Raw genomic sequence first — 26,785 nt, 5'->3', positions numbered from 1 at the left:
CACTTAGAGGAAGGTGGCACCCCTGAGGTCCTTCAGGGGGACATTTGAATAGGGTGGTCCTGAACTTTGGCAAAAGGACTTAGGTGTGAGCTGAAGTGTGCTGCTGGGAGGACTGTCCTTGCATCTGCAAAGGCCTGTCTACTCTCAGTCGCTGCCTAGCCCTGTCTGCCTCCTGCAACAGCAGGAAGATGCCATGAAAGAGGCATGGTGCCTTCATTCACCCACCTGAGTGAGCTGGGTCTCCCAAGAGTCTCCTCTGTAGGCACATGACTACTTTGAGAGGGCAAAGGGAATTGTCCTGGCTTTAGGGGGATTCAGGACTGAGGGAGGATGATCAGAGAGAGCGATGAAGACATATGGCTTCTCTTGAGGCAGAGCTCATGGGCTGAGAGCTTCAGTAAGAAGAGCAAGAGGCCCTGTAAAGAGATGAGATTACATCACAAAAGGACATGATGAGAACGAACGCATGAATTCTGATTTCCAAGACATTGGCAGATAAATAAAAAAGAGAATCACCTTTATTGAAACTAGAATTTCTGGTTTGAAAGATGGAACAGTACAAGCCTCTCATAAAACAGAGCCAAGACAGCAAGTCAGTGGGAAATTCTGAGCAAGAAGATGAGAGATGCCAGGACCAGAATGCCAGACAAAGATATCAGGAATCTGGTATGGAGAAGGGAACAGATGGACAAGCAATAATTAAGGCACCAGCACAAGAAGACCACCCCGTGGGGGAGAAAGACTTGACTTCTCACTCTGAGAAGTCTCACTGAGACTAGAAGACTCAACATGAAAAAATGTTGATTGTCCCCAAACTGATCTATAGATTGAATTGTAATTCCAATCAAAATGCTGATAGGATTGTTTGTAGATATGAACAAGCTTCTTCTAAAACGTATGTGGAAAAACAAAGGAACCAGAATAGCTAAAACTGTTTTGAAAACAAATAAAGATGGAGGAATCACACTACTCAATTTTAAGATATTATTTAGCCCTAATAATTAAGACAGTGGAACATTGGAAAAGGGGCAGACATACCAATGGAACAGAAGTCAGAAAGTCCAGAAGACCCACAAATAAGATTGATTGACTTTTTACCTACCTCATGTCAGGCTTAGTTTGCAAAATGTCCCAATAGGGATTCAGGGCTTCTATTGTCACCAACTGGAGAGGAAAGCAGCTTAAAATCTTAGACATGCATGTCCAACATGTATTATATGGTAAGAAAACTAAAAACTGTATGATACCCCTAAATAGAAGAAATATTAAAAATACGGATATTGGACCTTCAAACAAACAAATGGATCATGGGAATTCAGTATTTCTCTCTCTCTCTCTCTCTCTCTCTCTCTCACACACACACACACACACACACACACACACACACACATTTATATGTTACATATTTTACCAATCAAGACCCAATACATGGCTGAACATGTTAGCTGGCACCTATAATCCCAGTGTTTTAGGAGGCTGAAGTGGGAGGATTGCTTGAGCCCAGGAGTTCAAGACTGGCCTGGGCAACATAGTAAGATCTTGTCTCTACTAAAACAAAACAGAACAAAACAAAACAAAACAAAACAACTGATAACACGGAGATACTATGCTAGTCCATATTTATGAGTAGCAATTTCAGTAACCTCTGTAAGTAAACAAGAATGGCCCAAATGATGCCTATTAATATTGAAGATAAAACCTGTCAGTTCCATGGCATTGCAGCCAGTCTCCAAGATGGCACCAGATCATTACAACTTCCTGGTATTCACTCCCTTGTGAAGTGTTCTCCCACACTGCAGCATGCCTGGACTGTGTATGTAACAGAGTGTGGCAATTATAAAAGGCATTACAGTTTCCAGCCTGGTCTCTCTCCTGGGTCACTTGCTCTTGTCAAAGCCACTGCCATGTTGTGAGGACACTCAAGCTGCCCTGTGCAGAGGTTCTCATGGTGAGGAGCTGAGGCCTCTTGCCAACAGCCAGCATCAACTGGTTAGCTATGACACTGTTTCATCTTGGAAGCAGATTGTTCACTTCCAGTCAAGCTTTCAGATAACTGCAGCCTGACTAACTCAACTCTCTTTTTCTCTCTTAAACAAGTTTACTGAGATATAATTTACTTATCATTAAATTCACTGATTTCAAATGCATAATTTTACACTTCCAGTACATTTACAGAGTTGCACAACTATCACCACTATCTAATTTTAGAATATTTTCATCATGCCCTAAAGAAACTCCCTACTCATTGCAGTCATTCTCTCTCCCTACCTTCCTTATCAGGCAAGGCAGAATTGTCTTTTCTGAAAACTTAATATGAGTGGAATCATACAGTCTGTATGCATTTGAGAAAGGAAAAAATAAACCAAAGTGTTTTTCCTACTCTCATACATTCAATACAACACAGAACTCTTCTAAGGCCAGAGGTATGGTAGGTTTTTCCTCACAGAGCTAGCAATTCTCCTGCAGACACAGCTGGGCATCCTATAATTCAATTCTGATATGAACTGCCTGGAGATAGCATCAGATCCCACAGATCTGGTGGCTCAGACCCACAAGACTGCCCCTCTTCAGACACCAATCACAGGTAGTAGGTTGTCACCTATATATATGGCTGATTGGCTATAAATTGGAGTTCCCATGACCCTCTCTTTGGGTTTGATTAATTGGTGAGGATGAGTCACAGAAACACTAACTTGTGTTTACTCATTTATTATAAAGAATTTACTCATTTATTATAAAGAATATTACAAAGAATATATATGAACGGCTAGATAAAGAGATGCACAGGTATATTAGTTAGGGTTCTCTAGAGGGACAGAACTAATGGAATATATATATAATGGAATATATATATATATATATATATGAGTTTATTAAGTATAGGCCATCTGCAGGCTGAGGAGCAAGGAGAGCCAGTCTGAGTTCCAAAACTGAGAAACTTGGAGTCCAATGTTTGAGGGCAGGAAGCATCCAGCATGGGAGGAAGATGTAGGCTGGGAGGCTAGGCCAGTCTCTCTTTTCACACTGTTCTGCCTACTTATATTCAAGCTGCTCTGGCAGCTGATTAGATGGTGCCCACTCAGATTAAGGGTGGGTCTGCCTTTCCCAGCCCACTAACTCAAATGTTAACCTCCTTTGGCAATGCCCTCACAGACACACTCAGGATCAATACTTTGTATCCTTCAATCCAATCAAGTTGACACTCAATATTAACCATCACAAGAGGATGAGGTATATAGGAAGGGGTGCATAGCTTCCATGCCCCCTCTGAGTGTGCCACTGAAACTGTCTTTGCAGAATTATAAGTAATGTGAGAAATTGAATGTGACTAATTCCATCTTGCTTCTAACCTCACAGGCTAAATTGTTTTGTTTTGTTTTTGTTTTTTGCTTTTTCTAGCCCAGGGACCAAGATAACTATGAGAAGGATTTAGTTTATAGTTAAACTTTGAGTCAAGGAAAACTGATCCCCACCCCACCTTATTCAGAGATTGAAGCTGCATTCCAAAAAAAGACTTACAATAGGGGCTTGAACTTTGCTAAAGAATAGGCATAGTTAAACAATATCCTGTCATCCTGTAGTGTGCTCTTCTGTAGTGCCAACTGTCTGGGAGTCGAGTAACTTGAGGTTACAAGATTTGTAACTTCCCCAACTGCTCCTATAGATTACATCACAATTGTGAAACCTAAAGAACTGGTCTTTGAGATATTTTTCAGACAGTATTTTGGCAGACCAAATGACGCCACCTGGACCTGTGACCTTATCCCAGGAACTCAGCTGCACAAAGACAGTTCTGACAGCCCTGTGATTTCATCCTCAATGCAACCAATCAGTATTTCCCATTCTCTAGACCCTTGTCTACCAAAGTGCCCTTAAAAACCGTAGCCTCTGAATTCTTAGGGAGACTGATTTGAGAATTATCTTCTGTCCTCCTCACTTGCCTGGCCCTGTGATTATTAAACTCTTTCTTTGCTGCAACGCCTGCTGTTTTCAGTGCACTGACTTTTCTGGGCTGTGTGCAAGAAGAATCTGGTTGGGTGATTGCACCATCCTTCAGGAACCTTCATGGGTTCATCTATACAGAAGCTCTCCAAAACCTGTCCTTTATAGAGTCCTCATTGCATAGGCATGATTGACTCAATCATTGGCCATTTGTGATCAACTCAACTTTCAACCCCTCTCCCCTCCCTGGAGGCTGGGGATGGGGCTGAAAGTCCAGATGCTCTAATCACAAGGTTGGTTCCCCCTGGAAACCAGCCCCTAACCTGAGGCTGTCCAGAAGCCTCCAGTCACCAGTCATCTCCTTAGCATACAAAAGGCACTTATCAGTTGGGAGGTTCCAAGTGTTTTAGGAGCCATATGTCAGGAAAGAGAGGTAGTTGAAAACCAAATATATGTATTGCTTATTATAAGTCACATTATCCCAGTGTGTTTTTGTGTTTGGCTTCTTTTTTTTTTTTTTTTTTTTTTGAGACGGAGTTTCGCTCTTGTTGCCCAGGCTGGAGTGCAATGGTGCAATCTCAGCTCACCGCAACCTCCGCCTCCCGGGTTCAAGCGATTCTCCTTCCTTAGCCTCTCGAGTAGCTGGGATTACAGGCATGGGCCACCATGCCTGGTTAATTTTGTATTGTTAGTAGAGATGGGGTTTCTCCATGTTGGTCAGGTTGGCTGGGACTCCTGACCTCAGGTGATCTGCCCGCCTTGGCCTCTCAAAGTGCTGGGATCACAGGCGTGAGCCACCGTGCCCAGCCTGGCTTCTTTTTTTTTTAGCATTCACTTGACATTTAGGCCGCAAGCACATGTAAGAACCTGACAAGAGCCCCCCAGGTAAGCCATACCTGCATTCCTTATTGACAAAGGCTGTGAGATAATAAACATTTACTGTTGCTTTCAGCCAATAAATTGTGGGATAATTTTTTAGACAGCAATAGATGTAAACCAAACATAAAATCCTAAGCCTTCCCCTGACTGTCTGAATGGACTCGCTGTAGGCCAAGGGGACCCCAGAGAAACCTATAAAACAGAATTCCCGACAGGAAGGGGGGTCAGACATGCCTCATTATACACCCTCTATTCTGGAGTTCAGGCAGAACTGATCAGCATTAACATCAAAATAGAGATTAAGAGTCTGACACCTTTTGAGGTCTGAAAAGAGACATTTACCCTCTATCCTTGGCTCTTGAAACCCCCTTATCTTAACTCAGGCATTTTTTTTTGCTGCTGGGTTCAAGTTCTTAGACAAAGCTGAACTCTTTCAATCAATTGCAAATCAGAAAATCTTTGAACCCAACTATGACCTGTAAGCACCCCTACTCTGCCCTGACCCTCTCCACAACTTTACAGGCTGAGCCAATGTAAACCTTACATGTATTGATGCCTGTAACTTCTGTCTGCCTAAAATGTATAAAACCAAACTATAACCCAACTGCTTGGGACACACTTTCTTAGGACCTCTAGAGACTATTCCCTTGGGCCATGGTTATTCATATTGGTTCAGAATAAACCTCTTTAAATATTTGACAGAATTTGTTTTTTCCATTAATGTAGAGAACGAATACATATGAGCATGTGAATACTGTGAGGCAACTAAGTCCCTTTGATATTCAATGTACCATCAAGTCCAACTCCAAAGGTGCAAAATTTGTTAAATTGTCCACTATTAAAACTTGGGGACATGAGAAATATATTACCAGTTGTATTAGCATGTTTCGTTAATGGGATGAAATTTGTCCCTTTTTCTAATTTTTTAAAGAAAGCTGTATCCAGATCAAAAGACAGAATCCCCAATTTATTTTTAGGTCCATGTAACAGGTTGGATGAATAAGAAAGAAATTACATTGTGGACACTGTGTCCCAGCGGGTGACCAAAGTAACTTGCCCTGTCAGTCTGGGACAAGCCTTCGTTGGTCAGACAGGACAGTTGTAATCCCTGGGAGACTCAGTCGGCCAGCCCCGACTTTGAGATACACTGTCAAGAAGCCATTGAAAGGACCCGCAAGGGGCTGGGCACAGTGGCTCACACCTGTAATCCCAGCACTTTGGGAGGCCACGGCGGGCAGATCACCTGAGGTAAGAGTTTGAGACCAACCTGGCCAAAGTGGTGAAACCCCGTCTCTACTAAAAATACAAAAAAATTAGCTGGGCGTGGTGGCTGGCATCTATAACCCCAGCTACTCAGGAGGCTGAGGCAGGAAAATCGCTTGAATCTGGGAGGCGGAGGTTGCAGTGAGTGGAGGTTACAGTGAGCCGAGATTGTGCCATTGCACTCCAGCCTGGGCGACAGAGTGAGACTGTGTCTCAAAAAAAAAAAAAAAAAAAAAGGAAAGATCTACAAGGGAAAAGGGAAGGGAAAGAGGCAGATGCAGACCTCACACTCCAAAAGGAAGAAGGAGGAGGCTCACACGTCACAAGTGTGTGAATATGTCAACACATCATGGAAGGCTGTAAAACAAGAGCTCTTGGTGAAATGGTTTAAATAACGTGGGACTGGTAATGCTCTTGGCAACCTGAGTATGATTTGTTGTCTGCAGATGGTTTTGGCCTGTGTTCTCCTGTAGTGAAGGCTAACAATTAAGAGATCCATCTAGAGTCCACTAACAACAATGGTTTCAGGCTTTGAAAATATTTCTGGCAGGGCACGGTGGCTTACGCCTGTAATACCAGCACTTTGGGAGGCAGAGGTGGGCGGATCACGAGGTTAGGAGATCGAGACCATCCTGGCTAACACGGTGAAACCCCGTCTCTACTAAAAATACAAAAAATTAGTCGGGCGTAGTGGCGGGCGCCTGTAGTCCCAGCTACTCGGGAGGCTGAGGCAGGAGAATGGAGTGAACCGGGGGAGGCGGAGCTTGCAGTGAGCTGAGATCACGCCACTGCACTCCAACCTGGGAGACAGAGCCAGACTCCGTCTCAAAAAAAAAAAAAAAAAAAAAAAAGAAAATATTGCTATAAGTTTTCAGGGTAAATATTAGAACCTTTATGACACTTAAAAACAATGTTTGTGACTATGAAGTAGTCATTATTCATGAAATCTTTGGATTCTGAAATCATTTCCCCAAGTTTTCTCCTGCGACTTGCTGTGCATTATTATTCAGTAAAAGATTTGCCTTTATGCATGAACATGATGTTGGCATTCCTTCAAATTTATTGTTTTTTCTGTTTGCTTTGTCCCATTTTTTAAAATTAGATGTTTTTATTTTGAGATAATTGTAGATTCACATGCAGTTGTAAGAAATAATACACAGGGATCCTGTTGTACCCTTTTCCCTAGTTTCCTCCAATGGGTAGGATTTTTCAACGCTAAAATAAAGTATCTCAACCAGTGTATGCACATTGATAGTCAGGATCAGAACATTTCCAATACCACAGGGTCCCTCCAGTCACCCTTTAATAGCCACACATGGTCCCCCACTCCACTGTCCTTAACCTCTGGCAACAACCAATCTATTCTCTATTTCTATGATTGTGTCGTTTCAAGAATGCTATATAGAAATCACGTAGTGTGTAACCTTTTGCAGTTTGCTGGTGAAGACCCAGCACCATTTCCTGGAGATTCATCCAAGTTCAGTAGTTTATTCCTTTAGATTGCTGATTGATACACCTTGTGTAAATCAAAAATAAAATTCTAAGCTCTCCTACCAACTGAATGGACCCCTCGTCTCGGCCAAGGGCAGTTGAAAGTAAACCTGCAACATTAGTTCGGCCGTGATGGAACTAGGTGGTTGGACATGTCTCATTATACCTTCCTCCCTTTGGAATTCAGGCATAGCTGACTGGCATTAACATTAAAACAGAGACCTTAAGACTAACAGAGCGGACTCTTTATAGCGGCAAGGTACCAACATGACAGTGGGCCTTGAAAGAAATTGAAGTATTTTTCCCAAAAATAGATTTCTTTGACATATTTTGAGATGGTCCTGCAAAGCTGTCTCTTGTGGGGAAAATCTACATTCTGTAGAGAATCCCCTTCCCTTTCCCAGGTCATTTTTCTGATCCAGGAGAGAATTTAAGAATTTGGCAACTTTTAAAGTCTGATTAGAAACATTTACAATCTATTTTCTCCGAAGCCTGCTACCTGGAGCTTTCCTATGCGTAATAAGAACCTTGGCCTCCACAACCCCTAATCTTTACTCAGACCCTCCTTTCTATTGATTCCAAGTCTTTAGATAAACTCAACCAATTGCCAGTAAGAAAATCTTTGAATCCACCCGGAAGCCCCTTACTTCGAGTTTTCCTGCCTTTCCGGACCCAACCAGTGTACATCTTATATGTATCAATCGATGTCTTATGTCTCCCTAAAATGTATAAAACCAAGCTGTAGCCCAGCCACCTTGGGCATATTCTCAGGATCTCCAGGGGCTGTGTCATGGGCCATTGGTCACTCATATTTAGCTCAGAATAAATCTTCTGAAATATTTTACAGTTTGACTCTTTTCATTGACACTTTGTATAAATATACCATGGTTTGTTTAACTATTCACTGTTGATGGATATTTGGGTTTTTCTAGTTTTAATTACTATAAATAAACTGCTATAAACATTTCTGTGCAAAGTTTTGTGTGGACCTCAGTTTTCATATCTCTGGAGAAAATGCCCAAGAGTGCAATGGCTGGTTTGTATGGGTAATTGGATGTTTAGTTTCCCAAGCCACTGTCAAACTGTTTTCCAGGGTGCCTGTACCATTTTCTACTCCAACCAGCAGTGTAGGAGTGACCCAGCTTCTCTGCATCCTCTCCAGAATTTGGTATTGCCAATGTTTAATTTTAGCCTTTCTGATAGGTGTGTACTGATTGCAGTTTTAATTTGCATGCCCATGAAGGCTGATAATATTGAACACCAATTTTCAAATGCTTATTTTCCATCTGCTCTGTCTGCTGGGCACCCCCTGATGATCCCTGCTGATGGTGCCTCAGGATTACCCCAGTGAAGGACAGGTAAGCTGGGTCTTCATCCTTTGGCCCTCATCACTCTCTGTCTGAGCAATCCTAGCGTGTGGACGGAGCAAGCTTCGGTGTGCAGCAGGAGGCTCTGGTTGCCCAAGAATACGGGGCAGAACACCAATGATGTTGGCTGTGGCTCACCTCAGTGCCAGCTATGGTTGAGGTTGGAAGTGTTCTAGCACGTAAGCCCCACATGCTCACTTGCCAGGGAGCACGAAGGACACACTTCCTCTCGCAATCCTCTTTCCATTTCTAATCTGAGTTATTACTAAGATTGCAACAAATGCTCTAAGGTCCTGTATTCTGACCTTTATGAAACTCTTTGATCTCCCTTGCACTGTCTCTAAATTTATCACCCATTTCATAAATCATATAATTTCACGGAGAACCCAGGAAGGCCCACCTGACATTGCTCCTGTATTGCGCCTTGTCATCTGTTGGTAGGATCTAGAACAAAGGGAGAGAACTGGCTGGAATGGGTCCCAATGCTACAAAGGGCCACACAGATTCCAGAGCCTTCAGGGAACAGAAATGGAAGAGCCTGGAACTGTTCACTAGTTCTCATCCCTGATTACCCAGTGATCCTTACAGCCTACTGAGCAGGGCAATTCCAGCTCTCTGTTGGGTTGTGTTTCTCCAACTGTAGTTGGAGGCCCATCCAGTTGGAATCAACTGGCACATTTCTGGTTCTCACTTTTAGAACCCCTGATTCAGCAGATCTAGGGGGGTACCCGCAACTTAGCAAAGAACCCAGGTGGTTCTCATGCACACTGGATATTTTGAACCACACTTCTAGGGCTGCAGCATGCTGATGTGTGGGACATTTATACCGTACTGTGTTTGTCTCTTACCTTTGTCAATGAAAAGAGTCAAATTCTGTAAAATATTTAAAGAGATTTATTCTGAGCCATATATGAGTGACCATGGCCCATGACACAGCCCCTCAGGAGGTTCTGAGAACATGTGTCCAAAGTGACCAGGATGTAGTTTGGTTTTATACATTTTAGGGAGGCATGTGACTTCAATCAAATACATTTAAGAAATACATTGGTTTGGCTGGGTATGGTGGCTCACGCCTGTAATCCCAGTACTTTGGGAGGATGAGGTGGGAGGATCATTTGAGGTCAAGAGTTTGAGACCAGCCTGGCCAACATGATGAAACCCCATTTCTGCTGAAAATACACAAATTAGCCGGGCATGGTGGTGTGTGCCTGTAATCCCAGCTACTCAGGAGGCTGAGGCAGGAACCCAGGAGGCGGAGGTTGCAGTGAAACAGAGCAAGACTCCTCAAGGAAAAAAAAAATACACTGGTTTGGTTCAGAAAGATGGGACACCTTGAAGCAAGGGGGTTGGGGATGCTTCCAGCTTATAGATAGATTTTAAAATTTTCTGGTTGACAATTGGTTGAGTTTATTCAAAGACCTGGGATCCATAGAAAGGAATGTCTGGGTTGCCATAAGAGGTGGTGGAGAGCAGAGTTTTATCATGCAGATGAAACTTCCAGGTAGCAGGCTTCAGAGAGAATAGGCTGTAAAATGTTTCTTATCAGACTTAAAGTCGGTGTTGATGTTAATGTAGAGAGGTGTAATGAGGCATGTCTGATTCCCATTTCCCTTTGGGCCCTGACCCAGTCTTTCAGGTTAAATTTTAAGAGCACTGGCTGAGAAGAAAGTTCATTCAGATGGTTGGGAGGCCTTAGAATTTTATTTTTGGTTTGCACCTTGCACCCCAAATCTGGTAGGACCACAGAAACATCCTGTGGTACATTGTGAATAACTCTAGCATCTCTGGCTATGGCTATAAGTTATTCACTCCCACCAGTAAAATTGGAAGCTAACTGAATATATTCCTTTTGCTATAGAGAGAAGCACAGACAAAGGCACCACAGAGATGCACAGTGACACTCAAAGAGGCAGCGAGACAGAGATGAAGGCGTCGTGCTGTGAGAGCCATCGCCCGGCAGCATCCCCTCTCCTGGGTGTGAATTATGTCCTCCAAGGGCCTCAGCCACTGCAGCTTGAAAGTTACTTTTATGCTATTTCCTTAAAACCAACAAGAACACTTGACATTTCTAGGAGGCTTTGAGTAGAGAACACTGGTGGTTCTCGTTGGTTGTGTAACTCTGCCAGGAATTTAGAATATTGTTAGAATCTTTATTACATTTCAGCCTGATAAGGAGATGAAATAGCTAATGAATCCACTAAAAAAACTGCCAAGTAGCAAAGCTGGAAACTTTGGCCTTTGGTTGTCGTATAATAACACACCCCAGGCACAGAAGGTTTAGCACATTTTTCCTTACTAAAACACAAAACAACAACACCAATAACCCAATGAGGAGTCTTCAACTCCTCCCACCCCATAGCCCTGGGCTGTTCATCTGCAAGTCATTGTGTTAATAGTTTTTGTTTGTTTGTTTTTTAGCATTTGGTCTTCTAGATTTGCTTAGAAATCCATGGATTGGGGCAAGCCACGGGGAGCAGTGCCGTGCCTTTGCCTTTGTTGTGTGGAGTGACAGTCCCCGTGGCTGCAAGTCCTCACAAACCAGAATGGGCATGTTCCGGTGGAAAGGGAAGCATTGTCTGCCTGGAAGAACCAGTCACCTCCAGTGGCTGGGAATGTTTGTGCTTACCCACAGGGCATGGGAATGTATGTGCTTACCTAGCCCAGAAGAGCTAGAGAGAAGAGCCTAGGTATAAGACAAGGAGGCTTGTGGCAACTCCAAAGGGTCCCCTCTGGTTCTGGAGTGGAACTTACTAGAAATGAAAGGGAAGTTAATAGCTCCCTCATCAGGGATCTCAATGTGTGTTTAGGTCCAGAAAATCAAGGTTCTGGGTGCTCTGATGGCAACTGTGCTGAGTGTGGCTGTCTGAACGCACCAGGGCTCATTTGCTGAGCTTTTGTTCCACCTTCCGTGTCAGTTTGGAGGTTTGTTTCTTCATGCAATTATGTCAGGTTCATTATTTTTCTTGGGCATAGAACACACTTCCAACCCACATGTTGTGGTTTGAATATGTCCTCCAAAAAGCATGTGTGGGAAACTTAGGCCCCATGCAACAGTGTTGGGAGGTGGGGCCTAATGGGAAGTGCTCAGGCCATGAGGACTCTGCTTTCATGAATGGAGTAATGCTGCTATTCCAAGGGAGTGAGTTCCTTATAAAAGGACAAGTTTGGCCCCCTTTTCCCACTTTCTTGTCCTCTCTTGCCCTTCCACCTTCTGCCATGGAGTAATGCAGCAAGAAGGCCTCGCCAGATGCTGGTCCCTCGATCTTGGACTTTCCAGTCTCCAGAACCACAAGCCAATAAATTCCTGTTGATTATAAAATTACTCAGTCTGTGATATTCTATTAGAGCAGCACAAAGCAGACTAAGACACTATATCGTCCCTGGCTTTGAAAGGTTGCAGCTGATGTGGCTTTGCTGACAAACACAAAGGCCCTCTTCTGAGTTAACTCATCTCTTGCAGCATCTGAGCCCACTCTTTAGTGGACTCCTGGATAACACGCCCTCCTGTTTTCCTCCTGCTTTGGTCTCTCCCCACAACCCCTTCTCTCTGTTTCATCCTTACAGGCTGTGGAGCCCTGAGGGGCTTAGGTCTTGGCTTCTCCAGAGACTCCTGTCCAGTTCCTTGTCCTTAAATGTCATCTTAGTGCCAATAGCTCCAGGTATGTGTCTGCATACTGGCCTCTCCTTGAGCACCAAGCACATGACTAACTGCCTTCCTTTTTTTTTTTTTTTTTCTTTAGAGACAGGGTCTCACTTTGTTACCCAGGCTGGAGTGTAGTGGCATGATCACAGCTCCCTGCAGCCTTGACCTCGTGGACTCCAGGAATCCTCCCAAGTAGCTGTGACCACAGGCTTACGCCACCATGCCTGGCTAATTTTAAAATTTTTTGTAGAGATGGAGTCTCACTATGTTGCCCAGGCTGGTCTCAAACTGCTGGACTTAAGTGATCTTCCTGCCTTGGCCTACCAATGCATTAAAATTACAGGCATGAGACCCTGCACTTGGCCCCAACTGCCATCTTGACACTGCTATTTGAAAATCCAATCAGGATCTCATATTTAATGTGGCCAAAAAGAGACTTAATTTACCCCCAAGCTTCCAAACTTGCTCCTTCCTAGACTTTTCCATCTCAGTAAATGACTCAAGCCCAACAGGCAGCCCTTGCCCTTGATTCTGCTCTTTTCCTTGCCTTCCACATACAATAAACCCTCACATTGTCCTGCAGTCTTCACCTTCTCATTTCAAAATACATTTTGCATCCATCCACCAACTCAGTGAGAGGCCACTGGAGGTTCTTCATGACCTTGACCAGCCATTCCAGAGGGTGGAGGGGGCAGTATGGGGATGGGGGATGGCCGTGCAGGAGCTGGAAGCAGAGATAGCACAGATAGCATCTGCAGACAGCACTGTTTGGTGCATAACAGGTAATGGCAAAATAGGGCTATTGGTGGGGGAAAATGCGGGGTCAATACAAAATGAAAATTTAAAAGACCAACATAAAGCATGTTTTCTTGCTATTGGAATGGTCTGGTAGAGAGGGGACACAATGGTGCAGGAAAAGAGGCATCTCTGAGAAGATGGTGGTGGGGGATGCAGAGTTCAGCACCTGGAGAAAGGGCTGCTCTGCTTCACTGTGTCCAGAGGTGCCTGGTGCATGGAAGCCCAGAAGTCAGGGGTTGGGGGCCGATGATGGACAAGACAGCCACTGCCTGCTGGCTTTGGTTTTCTCCCTGAAGGGCAGCTTGTGGGTGGTGGTGGGGGGGGCGCTGTGAGGCTGAGGACAGAGGCTTTGTGCAATGGTTGCTCCGGAGAGTGGGAGAGCAAACTCTTTAGGAGAAGAGAGTAACCCTCCTGGGCAAGGAGAGCGCTTGTTTTGGGTTTTGCAGTCTTCCGTAAGACACCAGGCACAGCATACTTGTCATTCCCAACTTGCCTGATCATCTTAGCGGTGGTGGCCACTGGGTAGGGCCCAGAGGGTACTGCAGGCAGGGTGCACTCGACAGGGTTGGGCGGTCCCAGGGCAGGCCCAGGACACAGTAGCAGTGGGCATGGGGGGAGGAGGAGCCACCACGCTGGGCAGCAGCCAGAGGGGCTCATTAGGAAAAGAGGGAGAGAAGAAAGGAGGCCAGGATTAAGTAGAAAAGGGAGTAGATGTTCCTGCAGAAAAGAATGTTCCAAGTATTTTATTTATTTTTATTTTTAACATAGGCTCCCTGGTGAGACCTTCTGGTTTTAGCTGTTGTTTTCTTTGCTTCTGTCAATACGGTCTGGAGTTGAAATCGCAGACTGAACTGTTGTGCTCTGCGGGTGGCGATATGGAAGCACGAGGCTGTCTCTGACAACCACGTCACGCAGGCCGCTGTCCCTCCTACCCGGATGGGCTCTGTGCTGGGCCGGGAATTCTGCCCCCAGGGCTGATGTGAGGACGAAGTTCTTCACTTATCTGTTATGAGTTTTCACCGTCAACTACCCCTGCTCTTCTTTTGGGGTGAGAGATGGGACTTGTCTTGGAAAGAAGGCTTTGCTTTGCCCTTGGGAAGGTGGAGAGTTGCGAAAAAGAATGTGAATGGCTGGGCTTAATGGTGCGAGTTGGTTTTGTGTGCTCTAGGGTTAGAAGTCTGTTTTTCCCATGGGAGAAGGGTTTTGTCTTTCTGGTCCAAGAACTCGAGGACCTTGCTAGAAGAGCGTTCCAGCCACATTCTCTTTTCACCTGCTTCTGGAGTTTGGGGTTGAGCAGCCTGGAGTGCACAGAACCTTGGCATCCCTGGTTCGGGGTTCCGCAAATGGGCCAAGCCCACTCTCAGAGCTGTGCGGGTGAATCCAACAGTGCCTGTACCCTGCCTGCTCTGGAAATGAGGCCCCTGGAGAAAGGAGGCCTGGACTCTGGAGAGGGGACACCAGTCCTGGGGCCTGGCCAATAGACAAGGACACAGGGATCTTTGATAAACAGGGTTTGGCTTTCTCCTCAGAGTTGTGATTTCTTGCCTGGTTCCCAGGAGCCCCTGGGAAGCTGGACCTGGAACACTGGAGCCTGATATTCTCTGTTGTGGGGAATCCAAGGTGAAGTGTGGCCACGCCTTGGGCTGTTCTGGAGAGCTACAGCGGGAGAGAAGTTCATGGAGTTCTGTGACACAGTGACTGGCCAGGAAGCCCAGAGCAAGAGGCGACAAGACACAGCCAGATCAGGGAGAAGGCCTGCCAGCAATCCAGACATCCACGCCGTGAGCTTTCTGCAAGCCCTCAGGCAGGGCTCCGGAAGGCCACCTCTGGGATGGTGGGGTCCTACAGGTGGGCAGAGCTGGGTTTACTTTAGCAAGATCATATGTTCAGAGGTAAAGCCCATGGGGGTGAAGACTTGGCAGGTGCATTCCACCAATCTGGCCATGGGAGGAAGGACACCTGTGCTTTTTCTGAGTGGCCACGTGTTTTTGTGGCTCTAGGAGTCAGGGTTACAGCCAGATTAAGAAAAAACAGAACCCCAAATGCTGTGAATTTCAGGCTTCTTTGGCCATTCGGGTAAAAAATAACCTGTGCCAAGTGGATCAAGCTTGATGTGGGTGCGAGGGAAGCAGCATGGTGCTGTCATTTCAATCAGGGCACAAACACTGGAGAGAAAATAAATACTTTAGAAGGCACTTGACCTTTTAATGTGGAGTTCTAAAAATGGAGATTGAACACAGTGATGCTTAACAGAGGCAAAGAGAGCCAGGCTGCTATCAGATTCTTTCTACCCAAGAGTCTGGCTTTCCTCCCTGGCATTAGCAGGGCATCCCTGTTACCCAGGTGAGCACAAGAACAGCTGTTACCTGGATGAACCTAAGAACAGCCCTATTACCTGGGTGAGCACCAGAACAGCCTGTTACTTGGATGAACCTGAGGTTAGTTCTGTTACCAAGGTAAGCTGGGAACAGCCCTATTATACAGGTGAACCTGAGAACAGCCTGTCACCTGGGTGAATCTTAGAACAGCCCTGTTACCTGGGCGAACCCGTGAACAGCCCGTTACCTGGGTGAACCTTAGAACAGCCCTGTTACCTGAGTGAAACTGAGAAACCTGTTACCTGGGTGAACCTGAGAACAGCCTGTTACCTGGGTGAACCCGAGAACCCTGTTACCTGGGCGAACCCGAGAACAGCCTGTTACCTGGGTGAACCCAAGAACCGGGTTACCTGGGTGGCAGCTCTCCTGTTGGCTAGAGGAGCTGAGGCTGGGCGGGGCACCCTCTTGTTGAGTACAGACGGTTTTGTTTCTCCTCCTTGCTTTGCTTCGTTACTATGTTAATCTCTTCCTCTGTATGTTTTAGCAGCAAGTGTATTCTCCTGGTTAGAAAACAAGAATCTCTTGCCCAGCTGGGCCTTGTCCAAACCCTAACATTTTCTTTAAACTTCTTTCAAAGCGCTGGGTTGCAGTCTGTGGTGTGGGACGTCCCTCATCCCAAAGCACTCTCCTGGCCCAGGGGAAGAGAAGATGGGAAGGGCTGCTCTCCTTCTGGTCCTCCTTTCTCCAAAGTCCCTCTCACCCTGCAGGGAGAGCTGGCCATACATGTCCTGCTGGGCTAGACCTCTGATTTTTTTTTTTTTTTTGAGACGGGGTTTCGCTCTTGTTGCCCAGGCCGGAGTACAATCAGGCAATCTCGGCTCACTGCAACCTCTGCCTCCCAAGTTCAAGTGATTCTCTTGCCTCAGCCTCCCAAGCAGCTGGGATTACAGGCATGCGCCACCATGCCCAGCTAATTTTGTATTTTTAGTAGAGACGGGGTTTCTCCCTGTTGGTCAGGCTGGTCTTGAACTCCCGACCTCAGGTGATCCACCCTGCTTGGCCTCCCAAAGTGCTGGGATTACAGGCGTGAGCCACCACGCCCGGCCGACCCCAGTGCTTTTTGGAGTCACGTGGGGCCTGTGCAATCAGAGGGCCTTTTGTGGGGAGTTATCTGTATACAATGGGCTTTCTCTTCAGGCATAATTTTAGCACATTTTAATAGGAAAATTCTGTCTGAAAGTATGCCAACTAAAAAAATCAGATTGTACAGAGTGGATAAAAATACCCTGGCTACTCAGCCAAATGCCAGCCCTCCTAGTCCTTATGGCTCCAGGGAGAGTCCCATTTGCTGGGCGCTGCCTCCTTTCCAGCACCAGGAGAGTGGGGGGGTCAAAGGCCGTTTGTCCTCTGACTGCCTTTTTCTGCAGGCAAACTAAAAGTGACCTGAGTGCTCGGCCAGGGGCATGTGGAAGGGACTGGGAGTAGCCCTTGGCCACCGAGGTCCAGTGGAAGGGAAGGCTGGCCACGCTGCTGCAAGGTGTCCCAGACTCAGCCTGAGTGTCAGGCCCCTCTCCTCCCTCACTCTCTCCCTCCCTCCCTCTGCTTCTCTTCTCTCCTCCCTGCTGCGAGGGACTTTTCCTCGATAAGGATGCTGGGATTTTGAACTTGGGATAGGGAGGTGAGCCGCTCTCTGAGCTCTGTGGAGTTGATCTCTGCATCTGCCTGTGTTCAAGGCTGTTTTCATTGACTGTCTCTGTGGTACCACGAGCCACAGGATGGGATCAGCTCTTTTGTTTTCATTCAGATTTCATGACTAATTTCTGCACTATCGATCACCCCCCACAAGCTGGTGACTCACTCTCTCATCAAGGAGGCCGGACCCCACATCCCTCTGCCTTTTCTGATCTGTTTACGCAGCACTGACAGAGGAGGTGAGAAATCCAATGAGCATTTTTCTTTCTGAGTCAATTGTCTGATGAAGCAAGAAGCTGGGAAGCAAGTGAACATCCTTTTCTCAAAGTCTGGAAAATGACAGGAGCTTGCCGTGCTGCGTTCCCTGGAAGTGCGAGTAGAGCAGGTGTCCTCCTATCTCATGGTAATCTCAGGCCGCTCTTGTCTGCAGAGGCCCAGGGAACTCTGAGCCAAGTGTCATGTGTCTGCAGACGCATCCGCAGCAAGGGACAGCTCAGATGCCAGCAGCTTCCGGTGTGCTCAAGGGTGCCGGCCAGGGCCAGAGGGGAGGCAGCTTCCCAGTGCTGGCCGTGACTTACAATTTATAACTCTGTGAGCAAGCCATGGGGTGGTGCCCCTGTTGGGGTCCCTGCCTCTCTGTCAGGGAGAGTTTGTCACCCTCATTCCCATAAGAGGGCCTCAGGCCTGACCACAAGATGGGTGTGGCAGTGCAGAGAGCATGTTGGCAACTCGGAAATGGGAGAGGTCAGGGTGAAATGTGACCGCAGAGGTGTAGGCCGCCCCTATTTGCAGCTTACCCTTGACTGAGATTTTTTTTTTTCTTGAGATAATGCCTAGCTCTGTTACCCAGGCTGGAGTGCACTGGCACAATCTCAGCTCACTGCAACCTCCGCCTCCCAGGTTCTAGCCATTCCCCTGCCTCAGCCTCCCGTGTAGCTGGGATTAGAGGCACCCACCACCATGCCCGGCTAATTTTTGTATTTTTAGTAGAAAAAGGGTTTTGCCATATTGACCAGGTTGGTCTTGAACTCCTGACATCAAATGATCCTCCCTCCTTGGCCTCTCAAAGTGCCGGGATTATAGGCGTGAGCCACCGCACCCAGCCTTTACTGAGATTTTTAAAGAGAATGCAGGCCGGGTGCGGTGGCTCACACCTGTAATCCTAGCACTTTGGGAGGCCAAGGTGGGCAGATTGCCTGAGCTCAGGAGTTCGAGACCAGCCTGGGCAACATGGTGAAACTCCGTCTCTACTAAAAAAAAAAAAAAAATAATAATAATAATTAGCTGGGCATGATGGCCTGTGCCTGTAGTCCCAGCTACTCCGGGGGCTGAGACAGGAGAACTTCTTGAACCTGGGAGGCGGAGGTTGCAGTGAGCTGAGACGGTGCCACTGCACTCCAGCCTGGCGACAGAGTGAGACTCTGTCTCAAAAATAAATAAATAAATAAATAAATATAGATAGAATGTGTTTGAAGTCCTTGTGATGAATTTAGGACAGTAAGCATGTTGATAGATCTGCCAGGCTACAGTTCAAATACTGTTGAGTTCCATGCAATAAACAGTTGAGCTGGTTCTCTCCAACCCTCCAGAGGAATAAAGCCATTACTTGATGCTGGGTTCTCACTGCCTGTGCCGTGCACCCCTCTGGCAGCGTGGTGAACCTTATGGATGCCTGATCAGAATGATGTTTCTAATATATGAAATAAATAAAATAAATGATATAGTTTGGATGTGTGCCCCCACCCACCCCTCAAATCTCATGTGGAATTTTCATCCCCAGTGTTGGAGGAGGGGCTTGGTGGAAGGTGATTGGATCATTGAGGTGGATTTCCCTCTTGCTGTTCTCATGATCGTGAGTGAGTTCTCATGAGATCTGGTTGTTTAAAAGCGCATAGCATCTCCTTCTCTCTCTCTTTTCCTCCTGCTCTGGCCATGTGACATGCCTGCTTCTTCTTTGCCTTCTGCCATGGTTATAAGTTTCCTGAGGCCTCCCCAGAAGCAGAAGCCTGTACAGCCTAAAGAACTGTAAGCCTATTAAGCCTCTTTTCTTTGTAAATTACAATCTCAGGTATTTCTTTATAGCAGCGTGAGAACAGACTAATACAATAAAACACATGGGATGGGTGTATTGTACTTTCTAAAGGTAGTGTGATGGTGTCCCCCAGGCCACATGCTTTTCTCTCATCTGAACTTGTCACTCCCCCACCAAGTCCATTTCTCTACCTCCTGGAATTCAGGAAGCCCTGAGAATCCCTGGACCAATAGAATATGGAGGGAGTGATGGTGTAGCAGCTCTGAATGTAGCTCTTGACCGTCCCAGCACCTCTTCCCTCTTTGTGAGAAGCAGGCTTGTGTAAGAAGCATGACCGCCTAAGACCACCACACTGTGGGAAGGCCAAGGCCCGTGTAATGAGGTACCATGTTCAGAGGAAGACCAAGGAGCACCAAGGAGGCAGCAGACTGAGTGGAGAGGAATATGCAGGGGATGCTGTGTAGTCAGAATCAAGCTTCCCAGGTGAGTCTCCCTCAATCTCCTGATCCACAAAACTGTCAGCAAAAGAAAGTGGTTGCTCTAGGCCATTAAATTTGTTTTTATTTTGTTTTCTTTTTGTTTGTTTGTTTGTTTTTGGAGGGGGTGCTGGTGTCACTCAGCAATAGAAAACCAGAGCACAGGATTATCAAGGAAATGAATTCTATTAAATTACAAGAGGTGATGGTTAATTTTATGTGTCAACTTGACTTGGCAATGGGGTGCCCAGATATGTGGTCAAACATTATTTTGGATGAGATTAACATTTGCATCAGTGGACTGAGGAAAGCAGGCTCTTCCTAATGTGGGTGGGCCTCAGCCAATCCATTCAAGGCCTGAATAAAATAAAAAGGCAGCCCTTCCCTTGATGAAAGGAAAATTCTTCCCATCTTATGGCCTTTGGTTTGGGACATTGTTTTTTTGTTTTTTTTTGAGAGGGAGTTTCACTCTTGTTGCCCAGGCTGGAGTGCAATGGCGTAATTTCGGCTCACTGCAACCTCCGCCTCCCAGGTTCATGCAATGGCACAATCTCGGCTCACTGCAACCTCTGCCTCCCAGGTTCAAGCAATTCTCCTGTCTCAGCCTCCTGACTAGCTGGGATTACAGGCATGCACCACCACACCTGGCTAATGTTGTATTTTTAAGTAGAGATGGGGTTTCCCCATGTTGGTCGGGCTGGTCTCAAACTGCTGACCTCAGGTGATCTGCCTGCCTCGGCCTCCCAAAGTGCTGGGATTACAGGCATGAGCCACCGAGCCGGCTGGGACACTGGTTTTTTTGTTGCTTTTGGACATGAATGGAAAACTAGCTCTCCCTGGGTCTCAAGCCCGTGGCCTTCAGACAGTAACTGACACCATTGGCTGCCCCGGGGTCCAGCTTGCCCGTTAGCCCCACCGATCTTGAGGCTTGCCTGACTCTCTCTGTTTTTCGCTCTCACCACTGCCCCTACCCCCACACCCTATTGGTTCTGTTTCCCTGACTAATACACAGGTTAAACCAAGAATGCCAAAGGGACTCTTAGAGTTTATGCACTTGGTTCTCACTTATCAGCAGGCAAGAACAGTAGTCAGAAAATACAGTTGTGCATTGCTTCACAACAGATATACGTCCTGAGAAATGCATTGTTAGGCAATTTTGTCATAGTGCAAGCATCCTGTAATACACTCACACAAACCTTGATGGTAGAACCTGCTATGAACCCAGGCTATAGGGTTCAGCCCATTGCTTTTAGGCCATAAACCTGTACAGCATGGGACTGTACTGAGTACTGCAGGCAACCAGACACAGTGGTATTTGTGTATCTAAATCTATCTAAACGTAGATAAGGCACAGTAAAAATATGGTATAAAAGATAAAACATGGTATCCCTCCATAGGGCAGCTCATTAAAAACGCCTTTGTATATGCAGCCTGTCCTTCGCTGAAATGTTGTTGCATGGTGCTTCACTGTACTTAGCACCTCAAATAGGTAGAGATGTGTGCAGGTCTTGGGACAATAACAGGAACTCTGAGACAAGATTTCTGCCCTTTAGGGAGCTTTACATCTTGCTTAGAAAACCCATAGAAGGAGTTAATGATGCACATAGATGCATAGGAGAGAGCTAAAAGGCCAGCCCCCCAATTCCAAGCTTCAAGAATTTTGAACCCCAGGCCAGGGTTTCAGGGCAGCTGGATCACTTTCCCTGGAAGGATGCACTGTAGCAAGCTGGAGAGGCTCCCACCACCCAGGAGAGTGACTGGTGGTCTTTTAGCAGCAGAGATGGCTTGTCTGCAAACATAGTGAAAGATGCAGGTTGTTTATGTCCCTGGGGCAACCCCTGCCAACAAAGGGACAGGTGCCAGTGGAGAAGGGTCAGCCTCCTCTAGGAGAACTCTGGGAGACTTTCTGTGGGAATCCCAGGAGGCCCTCCAGGGCCATGCCTGTCTGCTCACAGCAGTGACCTTGACCAGGCAGTTCGATAACCTTCTTTCCTGAACACTCCCAAGAAAACTAGCTGATGGCCGAAGAAGCTTTGCTTCCATTCTTCTGTCTGGACTGCATTCCCATGGGCATTCTTGGAGAGGACATCCACATCCACGTTTCAACTTTGCGTGTCTCCAGCTTGCATGTTGCAGAGATTTGTAGACTCCATCTTCTACCACTGCTTTTGCCGCTACTCCTGCGGGCAGCTGCTACTGTAGGCCTGCTAGGCACTGGGTGCTTCACTTACGTGGTCTCTAATCCTCACCGCAGCTCAGCAAGGCAGGTGCGAGAGGTTCCATTTAACAGAGCAGCCAATTATTTAAGGTACCACTGGTGATCCCCGAGTCCCATCTGCCCCAGAGCTGGTGTTCTCTGTAGCCCTCCCTTGCTCAAGTGCTGCCTGCCATGTGCAGAGCATGGGTTCCCAGCTGGATGAGGCATCAGCCTGTACCTTTGGCCCCCCAGACCATGTCCTCCTGGTGTGGGTGCAGTTGGCTACACCCTTGTGCTGACCACTTGCTGTGCCAGAGGGGATTTCTGATACTGCCAAGACTTAGACAGCAACATGCCCTCCCATTATTGAACAGGGATGCTTTCTTCCAGTGTCACTCAAAGAAGCAGCAAGACTCTGTCTTAACGTGGCTTGCTGTTGCTATTATTTCCCTCGAAGCCATGAGACACTGGATGAGAGCAGCGGCTGGGCGTGTGAGTTAACATCGCATGCTTTCCTGACTCCACTGCCCCACTCATGGTAAGTGTCCAGTATGTGTTGTCCAAGGCATGATTGCATTTTTCATATCTTCCGTTTAACCTTCTTGTTGACTGTGGTACATCAATCCAGTTTGATTTTTCATTGCACACAGAGGTCATAGCATAGCTTCTTGAATTTGTCCTTCTCTGAATGGAAGCCACTTGGATCCTCCAGGTATTTCTCCAAGGGGCAGGGCTTTCAGCACAGAATCAACAGGAGAAACCATCTGGAAAGCCCAGAGGCGTGTTCGGCAGCGTGTGGGAGCAGAGCTGCAGTAAACGGTGGCTCCTTGTTCGCCCATCTCAGCTGTTCAGCTGACTTCTTGCCGTCTCCAGCTGTCTTCTCTATCTCATCCTGATGACTCCTTCCCACAACTCTTTCCCTGGCTGCCGCAACGGTCCAGCTGCAGCCTGCATTCACAGTTACTTACCTGTGGGGCTTTCTTGTTTCTGAGATGGCCGAATTGTCTTCTGAAATTTACCTCCATGACTCTGGTTATATATTTTGGTTCCTAGTGGGTGCCGACATCACAGTGGGCTGATTAGATGGTTTGCATTACTTGTTGGCAGGCCTTCGAGCCTCCTGTGCAGTTTCCCGAAAATATTCCATCTGCAGGTGGGAAGCCCAAGCCCCTGGGCAAATTATGCCATGAGTGTGTCTTGGCAGTCATTCTGGGTTCCAATGACTTGGGCCGTGGTTCAAACATTCCCTGGGGATTGTCCGGATCTGAGCTCCTGGTGGTGGGAAGCCAGCCTTTGGTGCCAGCCTGGCCCAGCACCATCTCTTGACTCCTGACCCCACCAGAGGGTGAGGACTTGGTGTGAGCAGGGACACAGCAGGTCCCAGGAAAGTCTGCTGAGTGAACGGGTGAATAAAATAGTCTCAAACCCTGTATGTTATTCCCTCCTTGCCCCTACTCAGAACTCCTCCTCACTTCCAATCGGAACTTGTCTCCTCTCTGCCAGAAGGTCAGCCCTGGTGATTCCTGGAGTTCATGCCTCCTGTCCCGCCATGGTTCTGTGGACTGCTGGCTGTTGTGGGGAGCTATCTTCCTGGTGAGCTTTGCAGGGCAGGGTCCCAGCAGGAGAGCAGAAGCAAGATGCATGGTGCAGATGAGGGATTCTTTCCAGTGGTTAGACCCTGCAGGACCATGGGGGAGCTGGGCAGAAAAGTACAAGGGGTGTTGGAGAATCTGAGAAAAGGCATCAACCAGCCTTCCTGAATCCCTGGCCTGTGGCAAGAAAGGCAAGTCAGAGCATGGGCCATGGGGCACAAAGGGGAGTAGGTGGGGTCTATGGACTGCCACCACCTCTAGCATAAAGTCCAGGCTCAATGTCTGCTGCTGGGCCTGGGGCCTCTTGTGGTCAGTGGGAAGGGTCAGGCCCAGAGGAGGGAGGGCAGCTCTGTGTTTGCTTGTCACTGTAGAGGCCATGACAACCTTCAGGGTACAAGCTGCTGCTTCACTTCCATTTTGCAAATCTCAGGCAGAACCCCTCTTTTGGCCAACTCTCTACATGGAAGAGGGTTCTGGAAAGATAATCCCAGTTACATCATGTGTGACCCAGGTTCATCATGTAATACTAACTGCCGTGGCTGGATCTCAGATTTCTTTGTGTGCCATTGAGTGTTTTACCCAGGGCAGATACAAATGAGTGATGGGGAGGAAACAGGCTAAGGGGGCAAATGCAATGCTTTTGTTGACCCAGCCTTCATTATGGGTTCACTACTGATCACCATACCAGCAAATGCTGCCTCCTGCCCCAAGGCCGTGATAAGGAGCACTTGAAAGCAGTCTGTCCATTTCCAAAATATTGTCACTTCAAGAATGATGTGTAAATGGCATCATACAGTGTGGAACCTTTTGGGATTGGCTTTTTTCACTCAGCATAATTCTCTGGAGATTCATCCAAGTTTTATGTATCAACAGTCCATTCCGTCTAATGGCTGAGTGGTGTTCCACAGTCTGGGTGTGCACACAGTGTTTAACCATTCACCTGTGAGCTGAAGGACATCTGGGTTGACGATTACACATTTTTGACTACTACAAATAAAGCTGCCATGAACATTCATGGTGCAAGTTTTTGTGTGAATGTAAGTTTTCATTTCTCCGGGATAAATGCTCAAGAACACAACTGTACGGGCGTTGCATATTTAGTTTTATGAGAAATGACTAAACTGTTTTTCGGAGTGGCTGTACCAGTTTACAGCTCACCAATACTTTATTATTCCTAAAATAAAATATTACTAAGTTAATTGTCGGGGAGGGCAGTGGTGGATGTGGCCATGAAAGGACAGCAGGAGGGATCCTTTGGGTGATGAAAATGTTCAGTATGTTTGGTATCTTGACTGTGGGGGTGAATACACCAATGTATATGTGAGAAGATCGTATAGAACTAAACACACACACACACACGAACACACACACACAAACACATACACACAGATGAGTCCTTGTGCATATATAACTGGGCAATCTGAACATGACACATGGGTTGCATCAATGTCAATACCTGGCGGTGAAATCGTATTCTAGTTTTGCCAAGATGTTACCACTGGGAAAACTGGGTAAAAGTAACTGCATGTGAATCTACAATTATCTAACAATTTAAAAAATTAATTAACAAGTGTCTAAAATACATGATATTTGTTAAAAGGCAAGCCTATGAAAAACATGATACATTATTAAGAGTTAGGCAAATGTTGTTGTTACTTGCTTTTCTGCTTTTGGGGGCCAAGTACTGGTTACTAAGATTCCTAGCCTCTTCCGAAGGCGGTCCTTCCTCCACACAACTGCAAGAAGAGGCCTTTTCAGTGTAGACCCTTACTTTACCCCTCCACCCCAGGGCCCATTTTAGGGAATAGAAAAGCAATTTGGAAGGATTAGACTGAGGGACCCGTGCCTCCAGCAGATAGGCCAGCGGAAGAGCAGTCAGTGCTGTGGGAGATGCTGCGGGGAGGAGCGTGTCTGCGAGGAAGGACTGCTGGCTTCAGCACTTCCCGATTGGAACTTCATGATGGAATCCTTGGCACACCAATGCTAAAAACCAAGTGTGAAAAAAATCACCCTAGAACCTGCTAGAGTGATACTGTGGAGGATCTGTGGGCTGCACCGCCCACAGGGACTGCCCTGTATCAGCATGGAGAACTGATATCCCATGGCAGGGCCACTGGGTAGCGGCTGCTGCTAAGTGGGGGTGCCGGATGCGTTCCTTGGTTCATCTTCCACTGATGTTTTGGAAATTGGGCTCCGTAAGAGCACCCAGAAGTGCTTATTAAGAACCACCCGTGCTCTGCTGGTTCCTGAGGTGCCAGATTCCCTCCAGGGAAATGTTGACCTTTGTGATAGACTATCTTATGACCAAAAGCTTCGCAGCATTAAAATGTGATCCATCTCATTAGGTTGTCATATGAAGCCTATAAATAACTCCAGAAATGAGATCCTGTGACAGCTATTTATTTTCACTCTTATTATTTAACATAAATATTGGCTATTTATAGCCAGGTCGTCAAGGCAGTCATTGCTTCCCCCATCTTATTATTTCTCTCACTCTGACTTGGGAAGTGGGGACTTGAACCTGGAAGAGGGAGAGAGGTCCAGTGGGGGTGGCCCCCGCTTCTTGGAACCTGGTCTCCTTAGGGACAGAAATTTTCCTACCCCATTTATACTCTGGTTATCTTGCTGAGAAGCTTATTGCGTCTTCTCCATCTTGGTATTCTTATACGTGCATGTTTTCTCTCCCAGTACGTTTGAATTTGAAAGAACCGTGAAGGCTCTGAGATTTTACCCTTCTTGCAAGCTAGCAATCATTTTCACTGGTGCTGGCAGAAGATAGGAGATTCCTGGGTCAGAGACAAAGGACAGTTTTTTACTGACAGCAGTAAGAGTAGCCAAGGTAGCTGCACTTTTGTGCTGGTTCCCTGAGCCCCAGATCCCCCAGGGCAATGTGAAGAGGGTCAGGTGATGCCTGCATGTGCATCGACCGCAGGAGAGGAAGCCTGAACTCAGGGAACCCAAAGTTTCTGTAAGCAGGTGTGAAAGGAAAATAAAAACTTGGGACCCCAATTACTCTGTCAAAGGGAAAAATTAAGCTAAAAGCTGAGTCATGCAAGAAACTGCCTTTCCTTTTGTTCCTAAGCAGACAGCTATAG

At 46.7% G+C, this 26,785-nt stretch overlaps 2 long non-coding RNA genes across 2 annotated transcripts in view, besides 1 other annotated feature; both read left to right on the top strand.

Moving 5' to 3' along the window:
• The window catches only part of LINC02937 (long intergenic non-protein coding RNA 2937), an 86,180-nt gene extending 73,916 nt beyond the window's left edge, over positions 1 to 12,264 (top strand). The window contains exon 6 of the long non-coding RNA NR_184105.1: positions 10,801 to 12,264. This is a non-coding gene — a long non-coding RNA (long intergenic non-protein coding RNA 2937). The remainder of the gene's footprint in view (positions 1 to 10,800) is intronic.
• Positions 12,265 to 14,232: 1,968 nt separating this feature from the next.
• LOC100129316 (uncharacterized) lies at positions 14,233 to 26,071 on the top strand. Its single transcript, NR_033912.1, has 4 exons — positions 14,233 to 15,839; positions 19,738 to 19,908; positions 22,489 to 22,636; positions 22,749 to 26,071. It is a non-coding gene; the product is annotated as an uncharacterized LOC100129316 (long non-coding RNA).
• Positions 17,563 to 18,468: an enhancer, noted in NCBI's record as "H3K4me1 hESC enhancer chr9:93833179-93834084 (GRCh37/hg19 assembly coordinates)". NCBI's record gives its function as "activates a minimal SCP1, AML or CMV promoter by ChIP-STARR-seq in primed H9 embryonic stem cells {active_cell/tissue: H9 hESC(primed)}" and the evidence as "EXISTENCE:reporter gene assay evidence [ECO:0000049][PMID:30033119]".
• Positions 26,072 to 26,785: the final 714 nt, after the last annotated feature.

Source organism: Homo sapiens, chromosome 9, assembly GCF_000001405.40.
Source record: "Homo sapiens chromosome 9, GRCh38.p14 Primary Assembly".
In the NCBI taxonomy this organism is placed as follows: Eukaryota; Metazoa; Chordata; class Mammalia; order Primates; family Hominidae; genus Homo; species Homo sapiens.
This window is presented reverse-complemented; position numbering and strand designations above follow the sequence as displayed.